Raw genomic sequence first — 11096 nt, 5'->3', positions numbered from 1 at the left:
GAAAACACTCTGTAGGATATTATCCAGGAGAACTTCCCCAATCTAGCAAGGCAGGCCAACGTTCAGATTCAGAAAATACAGAGAATGCCACAAAGATACTCCTCGAGAAGAGCAACTCCAAGACACATAATTGTCAGATTCACCAAAGTTGAAATGAAGGAAAAAATGTTAAGGGCAGCCAGAGAGAAAGGTCGGGTTACCCTCAAAGGGAAGCCCATCAGACTAACAGCAGATCTCTCAGCAGAAACCCTACAAGCCAGAAGAGAGTGGGGGCCAATATTCAACATTCTTAAAGGAAAGAATTTTCAACCCAGAATTTCATATCCAGCCAAACTAAGCTTCATAAGTGAAGGAGAAATAAAATCCTTTACAGACAAGCAAATGCTGAGAGATTTTGTCACCACCAGGCCTGCCTTACAAGAGCTCCTGAAGGAAGCACTAAACATGGAAAGGAACAACCGGTACCAGCTGCTGCAAAATCATGCCAAAATGTAAAGACCATCGAGACTAGGAAGAAACTGCATCAACTAACGAGCAAAATAACCAGCTAACATCATCATGACAGGATCAAATTCACACATAGCAATATTAACTTTAAATGTAAATGGACTAAATGCTCCAATTAAAAGACACAGACTGGCAAATTGGATAAAGAGTCAAGACCCATCAGTGTGCTGTATTCAGGAAACCCATCTCACGTGCAGAGACACACATAGGCTCAAAATAAAAGGGTGGAGGAAGATCTACCCAGCCAATGGAAAACAAAAAAAGGCAGGGGTTGCAATCCTAGTCTCTGATAAAACAGACTTTAAACCAACAAAGATCAAAAGAGACAAAGAAGGCCATTACATAATGGTAAAGGGATCAATTCAACAAGAAGAGCTAACTATCCTAAATATATATGCACCCAATACAGGAGCACCAAGATTCATAAAGCAAATCCTGAGTGACCTACAAAGAGACTTAGACTCCCACACATTAATAATGGGAGACTTTAACACCCCACTGTCAACATTAGACAGATCAACGAGACAGAAAGTCAACAAGGATACCCAGGAATTGAACTCAGCTCTGCACCAGGCGGACCTAATAGACATCTACAGAACTCTCCACCCCAAATCAACAGAATATACATTTTTTTCAGCACCACACCACACCTATTCCAAAATTGACCACATACTGGGAAGTAAAGCTCTCCTCAGCAAATGTAAAAGAACGGAAATTATAACAAACTATCTCTCAGACCACAGTGCAATCAAACTAGAACTCAGGATTAAGAATCTCACTTAAAACCGCTCAACTACATGGAAACTGAACAACCTGCTCCTGAATGACTACTGGGTACATAACGAAATGAAGGCAGAAATAAAGATGTTCTTTGAAACCAACGAGAACAAAGACACAACATACCAGAATCTCTGGGACGCATTCAAAGCAGTGTGTAGAGGGAAATTTATAGCACTAAATGCCCACAAGAGAAAGCAGGAAAGATCCCAAATTGACACCCTAACATCACAATTAAAAGAACTAGAAAAGCAAGAGCAAACACATTCAAAAGCTAGCAGAAGGCAAGAAATAACTAAGATCAGAGCAGAACTGAAGGAAATAGAGACACAAAAAACCCTTCAAAAAATTAATGAATCCAGGAACTGGTTTTTTGAAAGGGTCAACAAAATTGATAGACTGCTAGCAAGACTAATAAAGAAAAAAAGAGAGAAGAATCAAATAGATGCAATAAAAAATGATAAAGGGGATATCACCACTGATCCCACAGAAATACAAACTACCATCAGAGAATACTACAAACACCTCTACGCAAATAAACTAGAAAATCTAGAAGAAATGGATAAATTCTTGGACACATACACTCTCCCAAGACTAAACCAGGTAGAAGTTGAATCTCTGAATAGACCAATAACAGGAGCTGAAATTGTGGCAATAATCAATAGCTTACCAATCAAAAAGAGTCCAGGACCAGATGGATTCACAGCCGAATTCTACCAGAGGTACAAGGAGGAACTGGTACCATTCCTTCTGAAACTATTCCAATCAATAGAAAAAGAGAGAATCCTCCCTAACTCATTTTATGAGGCCAGCATCATTCTGATACCAAAGCCAGGCAGAGACACAACAAAAAAAGAGAATTTTAGACCAATATCCTTGATGAACATTGATGCAAAAATCCTCAATAAAATACTGGCAAAACGAATCCAGCAGCACATCAAAAAGCTTATCCACCATGATCAAGTGGGCTTCATCCCTGGGATGCAAGGCTGGTTCAATATACGCAAATCAATAAATGTAATCCAGCATATAAATAGAGCCAAAGACAAAAACCACATGATTATCTCAATAGATGCAGAAAAAGCCTTTGACAAAATTCAACAACCCTTCATGCTAAAAACTCTCAATAAATTAGGTATTGATGGGACGTATTTCAAAATAATAAGAGCTATCTATGACAAACCCACAGCCAGTATCATACTGAATGGGCAAAAACTGGAAGCATTCCCTTTGAAAACTGGCACAAGACAGGGATGCCCTCTCTCACCACTCCTATTCAACATAGTGTTGGAAGTTCTGGCCAGGGCAATTAGGCAGGAGAAGGAAATAAAGGGTATTCAATTAGGAAAAGAGGAAGTCAAATTGTCCCTGTTTGCAGACGACATGATTGTATATCTAGAAAACCCCATTGTCTCAGCCCAAAATCTCCTTAAGCTGATAAGCAACTTCAGCAAAGTCTCAGGATACAAAATCAATGTATAAAAATCACAAGCATTCTTATACACCAACAACAGACAAACAGAGAGACAAATCATGAGTGAACTCCCATTCACAATTGCTTCAAAGAGAATAAAATACCTAGGAATCCAACTTACAAGGGATGTGAAGGACCTCTTCAAGGAGAACTACAAACCACTGCTCAAGGAAATAAAAGAGGACACAAACAAATGGAAGAACATTCCATGCTCATGGGTAGGAAGAATCAATATCGTGAAAATGGCCATACTGCCCAAGGTAATTTACAGATTCAATGCCATCCCCATCAAGCTACCAATGACTTTCTTCACAGAATTGGAAAAAACTACTTTAAAGTTCATATGGAACCAAAAAAGGAGCCCGCATCGCCACGTCAATCCTAAGCCAAAAGAACAAAGCTGGAGGCATCACACTACCTGACTTCAAACTATACTATAAGGCTACAGTAACCAAAACAGCATGGTACTGGTACCAAAACAGAGATATAGATCAATGGAACAGAACAGAGCCCTCAGAAATAACACCGCATATCTACAACTATCTGATCTTTGACAAACCTGAGAAAAACAAGCAATGGGGAAAGGATTCCCTATTTAATAAATGGTGCTGGGAAAACTGGCTAGCCATATGTAGAAAGGTGAAACTGGATCCCTTCCTTACACCTTATACAAAAATCAATTCAAGATGGATTAAAGACTTAAACGTTAGACCTAAAACCATAAAAACCCTAGAAGAAAACCTAGGCATTACCATTCAGGACATAGGCATGGGCAAGGACTTCATGTCTAAAACACCAAAAGCAATGGCAACAAAAGACAAAATTGACAAATGGGATCTAATTAAACTAAAGAGCTTCTGCACAGCAAAAGAAACTACCATCAGAGTGAACAGGCAACCTACAAAATGGGAGAAAATTTTTGCAACCTACTCATCTGACAAAGGGCTAATATCCAGAATCTACAATGAACTCAAACAAATTTACAAGAAAAAAACAACCCCATCAAAAAGTGGGCGAAGGACATGAACAGACACTTCTCAAAAGAAGACATTTATGCAGCCAAAAAACACATGAAAAAATGCTCATCATCACTGGCCATCAGAGAAATGCAAATCAAAACCACAATGAGATACCATCTCACACCAGTTAGAATGGCAATCATTAAAAAGTCAGGAAACAACAGGTGCTGGGGAGGACGTGGAGAAATAGGAACACTTTTACACTGTTGGTGGGACTGTAAACTAGTTCAACCATGGTGGAAGTCAGTGTGGCAATTCCTCAGGGATCTAGAACTAGAAATACCATTTGACCCAGCCATCCTATTACTGGGTATATACCCAAAGGAGAATAAATCATGCTGCTATAAAGACACATGCACACGTATGTTTATTGCGGCATTATTCACAATAGCAAAGACTTGGAACCAACCCAAATGTCCATCTATGGTAGACTGGATTAAGAAAATGTGGCACATATACGCCATGGAATACTATGCAGCCATAAAAAATGATGAGTTCATGTCCTTTGTAGGGACATGGATGAAATTGGAAATCATCATTCTCAGTAAACTATCACAAGAACAAAAAACCAAACACCGCATATTCTCACTCATAGGTGGGAATTGAACAATGAGATCACATGGACACAGGAAGGGGAATATCACACTCTGGGGACTGTTGTGGGGTGGGGGGAGGGGGGCGGGATAGCATCGGGAGATATACCTAATGCTAGATGACGAGTTAGTGGGTGCAGCGCACCAGCATGGCACATGTATACATATGTAACTAACCTGCACAATGTGCACATGTACCCTAAAACTTAAAGTATAATAATAAAAAAAAATCACATGAATTATTTATAACAAAGTTAGAGGGAGGTATATAAAAATACTGAGCTTGAAGGACATAAAAATGTGTTGTTTTGTTTTTTGTCTGGAAAAGTAGTTCATAGTTGAGTTGGGTTCACTCAGGATTTTGTTTCTTTCCTTCAGATGGAGTGAATATGATGATTCTGTGAAGGTTTATTGCAACATGACTTTTTCAGCACAGCAACAGGAAAATTTGACTCTGGGTCTGTTCTACAAAATTAAAGGTGATCAAAGACACTTTTAAAAAATATAATCTCTCTAAATTCAAAGTAAAAGCCCAAAGACATATACACTTTCGTTTCATCTTTGTTGTTCGTAATAGTGGATTGTAAACTTTCAGGTTAACAGAAATACCTTATAGGAAACCAACTCATTGTGCCATTCATATAAAAAAATGATTGAGCCTTTGCTATTTGCCAGACCCTCTGTGTTTGGAACTTAGCTATGCATAATGAACAATACCAGATACAGCTGTTCTCTCACAGAGCTTACATTTTGGGTGAGTGAGACAGACAACACAGAAGCATATGGTCAGGAGGTGGCAGATGCAGGGTAAAGAAAAAGAAAGTGATGGGTGCTGTTCTTTTAGATAGGGTAATCAAGGAAGGGGTCTCTGATAAAGTGATATTTGATCAGAGATTGGAAGGAAGATATTTCTATGTTATTAAAATATAACAAAATATTTTGTTGTATATATGAATAAGTATTCCTATGGTTTTCAACAAGCCTCATTACTATCTATTGCTATTTGAATGCTTTTACCAATATTTTATTTAAAAATATCAGCCACTCTTTAAACCAACCACTAGGTTAGTTAATGAAACCACTTTAGGCCAGAATGTAGAAGGACAGAAATGTTTTTCTAGTCGATGTCAGGGACAGGAACTTCCTTAAGATTGGGTATCACATGATGTGTAACCATGGACAATTGCATCTCTTCCTGGGGATGGCAAAGTTAAATTCTCCTGCAGCTGCTTCTCCAGGCTTCATGCTCTTCCCACCACCTACAGCTCGTTCTTACAATGTTTTGGAAGTAGACTATGGCTCTTGACCCCACTCTCATTAACTATTGCCTCTATGTCTAGAACTGAGCTATGTACTGGCAATACAACGTAGAGAATATATGGATGAGACACTAAAAGTGGTGGTAGACATATAAACGGACAGATTTTAGCAATGATAGGTTCTATAAATGTGTAAACAAAGTACTGCAGAAATACAGATGAGAAAACATTAATCCTATTTTGGATGAGAGGGTTAACTGTAAAAACTTCGGAGGGAGAGTGATATTTGGACTGGGTCTTGAAGGATGGGTAGGAGTTTGTGAGAGACATAGTGGGATGCAAGCATTCCAGGAGGGGCACAGGATAAGCAAACACATGGAGGTGAAAGGTGTGTGGCAAAGGTGCTCAGCAAGTGGAGTTGATGGCAAGGAGTAATTGGAGATAAGAGGGAGGGTTCATTTTGTGAACAATCTTAGTTAACATGTTAAGGACTTTGGATTGCATGCCATGAACAAAAGAGAGCTGGGAGCCATTGGCTGTTCTTACGTTGGGGAGTAAAGTGCTCAGGTCAGAGCTTTAGATATATAATTCATTAACAGCATGGATTGTTGGGCACAAAAACTAAAGGCTGAGAATCTAGTTAGGAGACTCCTGCCAAAGCCCCTTTAGGAATTAGTGAAAGCTTGGTGAAGAGCAGCAGGCACATGGATGGCGAGAAAGGCATGTGGCTAGGGACCTTACCTGACAGAAGTAGCTTTCCATGAAATTCATATTCAGACCTCCTTCTCTACATTCCCTCATAGAATTTCTTCTTAATGTTCCAGAGTATTCTTGACATATCTCAGGCATTCCTGAAGTTTTAACTCCCTCTGTTAGTTCAAATCCTGTCATTCTCTCTCCTCCTCCCAGATCTTGCATTTCTCTGCCACCATACTCATTTGTATAAACTCCTAAAAGTGTTGATCAAATTAAATTTATTTTCTTTAGTCTATCATAAACTAAAAAGTAACAACTTGCCTTGTAATATGTGATTTTTTCATTTAGGTATGCATTTGTGAACAAAGAAATAAAAAGATAATACATAAAGAAAGGAGATATAAATACAATATTGAACTCAAAATAATATTATTAATTTGTTAATTTGATAATTATCTGTTGAGAGATTACTATATTCTCTGCTGGAAGTGAAGGCTGCAGAGGACTTAAAAAAAATCTATGTCCTAAAGCATTTGATTTCAACCTGTAGGAAATTGGAGAAAAAATACTCAAATTCTGAAAGTTAAAAAAACAGTGTATAACTAGAAGCCCCAGTGTATAACTAGAAGCACAGGACATCCAGAAAAAGACATGAGAACCACTGGCTTTCAGAGAGGAGGCCATGGCTATGTGAGGAGAAAGGTTTTCATGAAGAATCTTGGGTTTGCACTTGGATGTGAGGAGTAAGTGGAAGCCTGTTACTATATTTGAGGTAGGTACTCGCTTCAGTAGCACGTATACTAAAATTAGAACTATATAGAGAACATTAGGATTGCCCCTGCACAGGATGATACGCAAATTGGTCAAGTGTTTCATCTTTTTTAAATTAAAAAAAAAAGAAATATTTGAGGTAGGTGAGATAAAATGATGGCCGGGACCGTGGAACTGCTGTGGAATGAAGAATGTTGTCAGTGGGATATGTATCCACTGGCTTTAGTATGTGAAGGATCTTGAGTTTGGGAACAGTCTGTTTTTCATGCTTCAGTTTTCCTTGGTGCCTCTTATGGTGCTTTGTTCAAAATTTGTGCAAAAGTTTGTAGATTTAATGGGAACAAATGTGTAAATAAATACTGATGGATTTGATGATTTGATAAATGTCTTGAGAACTGATTTGGTGTCAGTGAATACGACGAGTCAACAATGAGATTCTGCTTTTGAGGTGAGAAGACATTGGGGTTATTAATGAAAATGGACAAATCAGGTGGAGAAATAGATTTAAAGACTACTGTGTCGAGTTCTTTGAATAAGGTCCAGTTCTACAAGTTATACACATTTCTATGCCTGTTAGTTTAAAGTAGAAAACAATGGTTACTGTTTAAAAAGACTATGAGAAAAATAAGCTAACCAATAGTATTTATTTACCTTGAGAAAAGTAATGTGATACAACTATTTTCACAGATATGAGATGTTATTTTAATTGTTCTTTTATTATAATGGTAGTTATCCACTCACTGTGAAATTCTAATTATTCCCTGGGTTCTGCCTGTGAACTGGTCTAGATTCCTGTTTTAAGGCAAGTTGTATTTATACAGTCTTACCCACGTGCTGGAAAAAACTCCACCATGTGCACACAATCTCAGTTGAGAGCTTAGAAAGATTTTGATAGTGTTTCATCTACTTGCTTTCAATTAAAGAAATTGGACAAATATTTTTTAGGTAATATTTGTGATGATACTGAAAATGGATGCAGTTTTTTTCTTTGTTATAATAAGCAGCTAAAGTCAAAGCAATTTTGAATCCTTAAATTAATTGTGTATAAAGATTTTAGCCTCAATAAATGAGCACGGCTCTATTTTAGTTGGGTTGTACTTTAATTTTAATTAGTGTATATATGTGTATGAAATATGTGTGTGTATGTATGTTAATGAAATTTGCTCTATTAAATTAAAAATCTTGACTAAAACTTACTCATGGTTACAATTCAGTACTTCTGCATATATAGAGATCCTAATTTGGACATCTTCTAAGTACTCTTTGATGGTTGAGGAAAATTTTTAAAATGAAGCATATAACAATAATAATTACCATAGGTTTTTCCTTGCCATTTAATTTACAAGTTAGTCATTTAAAAAAGAATGATATAAACACTTTTGAAGAAAAATAAGATAATTAAAAAACAATAATCAAAGAGAGAAAATAGACTTCCTACTTAAGCATTTGAGATGTTAAACAAATTCTTTTTTCTTACCTGAGTTGTCAATGCATTCAATTATATTTGCGTTATCAGGTGGTATTTGTGGTATGACAGTGGTTATATCCTAAAAGACAGGAAACAACATTTCCATTTGTAGTGACCAATGACTATAATCTTTCTGCAGTCATACATTTGGTTTATTCTTAAATTACCTCAGATTTCCTAAAAAAAAAATACTATTTAGGAAATTCTGAAATCCATTTAAAATTTGAACTTCACTTAGAAAATCTTCCCTGGTTACTTCCATCTAATTTTGTTGTGTTTCTGATTCCTCTTCATTTTCTCCATTAGCTTTCTCAGCACAAAAAACAGCATAGACTGTGAGTGATGGCGGCCATCTTGGTTCATGTGTAAAGACTGAATTTCAGTGACTACCAACGGCTATTTCTTAGAATGTGGCACTTACCCTGGGTTCAGGCTGTGGTCCTTCTACTGCCCATGAATGAATTGCTCCATCTGAACATTCGGGAACAGGCTCAAAGCCAGCTGCACTACGAGGAGCACCTCCACAATCACAACAGATCATCAAAAATGGGACCACTGGTGGTGGAGGGATAGTAATACTAGAGTTAGCACTGGGTGCAAATAAAAAACAAAACAACCTGATTTTTTATGGTTAAATTTGAATTCGTAATATAATTCTGGTTGGTTCTAAAATTATGAAAGTTTCAGAATACAAGCTGAATGATGGTCAGACCCCAAAGTAAATGGGAGCTTCTGTATATTAGACTGCAGTCAATTTTAGTTTATTTTATAGTATTAAAAATTACAAATAGTGGGCCTGGCATGGTGGCTCACACCTGTAATTCCAGCACTTTGGGAGGTGGAAGTGGGTGGATCACTAGAGCCCAGGAGCTTGAGACAAGCCTGAGCAACATGGTGAAACCCTATCTCTACCAAAAAATACAAAAATTAGGCGTGTATGGGGGCTTTTGCCTGCAGTCTTAGCTACTCTGGAGGCTGAGGTGGGAGGATGGCTTGAGCCAGGGAGGTTGAGGCTGCTCAACCAGGGAGGTGGGCGGTGGTTGTGCCACTGCACTCCAGCCTGAGTGACAGAGTGAGACCCTCTCTCAAAAAAAAAAAAAAAAAAATCACAGATAGTATTACATTATTAAAACCGATTAATCTTTCCATGTCATTATTTAGGAAAATATTAAAGGAGAGAACAAGGAAAGATGAAAAGGTCAGGCAATATATTTGATCCTTTGTGTTCTCTCCTCCATGTCTTTATTGTCTTCCTTTAACATATGCTTGCCTTTATTTCAACAGTAAAATCTTATTCATGCTTCCAACAATTCTCTGTGAGGCTATTTCCCCCTATGCAAGTGTCTTTTCTTTCAATAACTCTTATACAAATAGAAAACATCACACTGCTTAGCACTGTCTTTTGCTGTTAAGTGGAGTTTTCTTATTTATCTATTTATTATCAGCCTCTTATATAATCTAATCTTGGTAAATGGTTTTGAATAAATGGATGAAAGAAAGAATGTGTAAATTAAAATTGTGAAGAAGGAGGAAAGGAAAAAAGAAGGAAGTAAATTAGGGAAGAAGGAAGGTAGTAAGGATAGACATAAGGGAGAGAGGGAGAGAAGAAAAAAGAAAAAAAGAGGAAAAGAAGCCCATGTATTGGTTTTCTGAAAATCTACTAGAGGAAACTTTGGGTCTACAGGTAGTGATGACTAAGGCCCATATATAATTTATAAATCTTTTATTTACTACAGTACCCAGAGGTAGTCCGCAATGTAAAAAAACAACTCAGGACGGGCGCGGTGGCTCACGCCTGTAATTCCAGCACTTTGAGAGGCCAAAGCGGGTGGATCACGAGGTCAGGAGATCGAGATCATCCTGGCCAATATGGTGAAACCCCATCTTTACTAAAAATACAAAAATTAGCCGGGTGTGGTGGTGCACATGGGTAGTCCCAGCTACTCAGGAGGCTGAGGCAGGAGAATCGCTTGAACCTGGGAGGCAAAGGTTACAGTGAGACGAGATTGCACCACTGTACTCCAGCCTGGGTGAGAGTGAGACTCCATCTCAAAAAAAAACAAAAAAACAAAAAAACAAAAGAACAAAAAAAACCCAGAAAACAAACAAACAAAACTCAACATGAAAGTTAGGTATTATTTACAGTAGTGATAATGAGCACTTGGGTAATTACGTTACTCTTATGAAGTATTAAATTTAAACATTTTACAATGTTAGTTGGTAATAAATAACAGAGAGAATGAACTCTTTTCATATGTATTTTATGTTATATTCTGCAACTTCACTAGCATTTTTGCCTTTATCTTGTCTTGGTTCATTTTGATGAGAATGCTTTTTTCTTTCTCTCTTTCCCTTTTCTCTGTTTCATAGAACTTTTCCTGGTTATTACTTCAATTAATTATGAGCCAGTAAGAATAAACTCTTATTTGTTAATGTAAAAATTTCATTTTTTGGAAATACGTTTTAAATTTTGGAAAAAGAACTCCAGCTCTAAGCTGTGTTATCACCATGGCCAGACTCGTTGTTTAGATG

General features: G+C 37.4%; 1 protein-coding gene, 1 long non-coding RNA gene and 1 pseudogene across 3 annotated transcripts in view; 2 read left to right on the top strand and 1 right to left on the bottom strand.

Moving 5' to 3' along the window:
* Positions 1–9201, top strand: part of DSG1-AS1 (DSG1 antisense RNA 1) — an 83621-nt gene extending 74420 nt beyond the window's left edge. For both annotated transcript variants that reach the window (NR_110788.1, NR_110789.1), the window contains 2 exons: positions 4749–4849; positions 8871–9201. This is a non-coding gene — a long non-coding RNA (DSG1 antisense RNA 1). The remainder of the gene's footprint in view (positions 1–4748; positions 4850–8870) is intronic.
* The window catches only part of DSG1 (desmoglein 1), a 41087-nt gene that overhangs the window by 6678 nt on the left and 23313 nt on the right, over positions 1–11096 (bottom strand). Inside the window, exons 12-14 of the mRNA NM_001942.4 lie at positions 8986–9119; positions 8574–8643; positions 6371–6579 (exon numbers count right to left, since the gene is read on the bottom strand). Coding sequence (NP_001933.2) covers positions 6371–6579; positions 8574–8643; positions 8986–9119 — 413 coding nt within the window. The remainder of the gene's footprint in view (positions 1–6370; positions 6580–8573; positions 8644–8985; positions 9120–11096) is intronic.
* Positions 7102–7207, top strand: RNU6-167P (RNA, U6 small nuclear 167, pseudogene; annotated as a pseudogene).

Source organism: Homo sapiens, chromosome 18, assembly GCF_000001405.40.
Source record: "Homo sapiens chromosome 18, GRCh38.p14 Primary Assembly".
Lineage (NCBI taxonomy): Eukaryota > Metazoa > Chordata > Mammalia > Primates > Hominidae > Homo > Homo sapiens.
The sequence above is the reverse complement of the archived record's forward strand: the minus strand, read 5'-3'. Positions and strand labels throughout refer to the sequence as shown.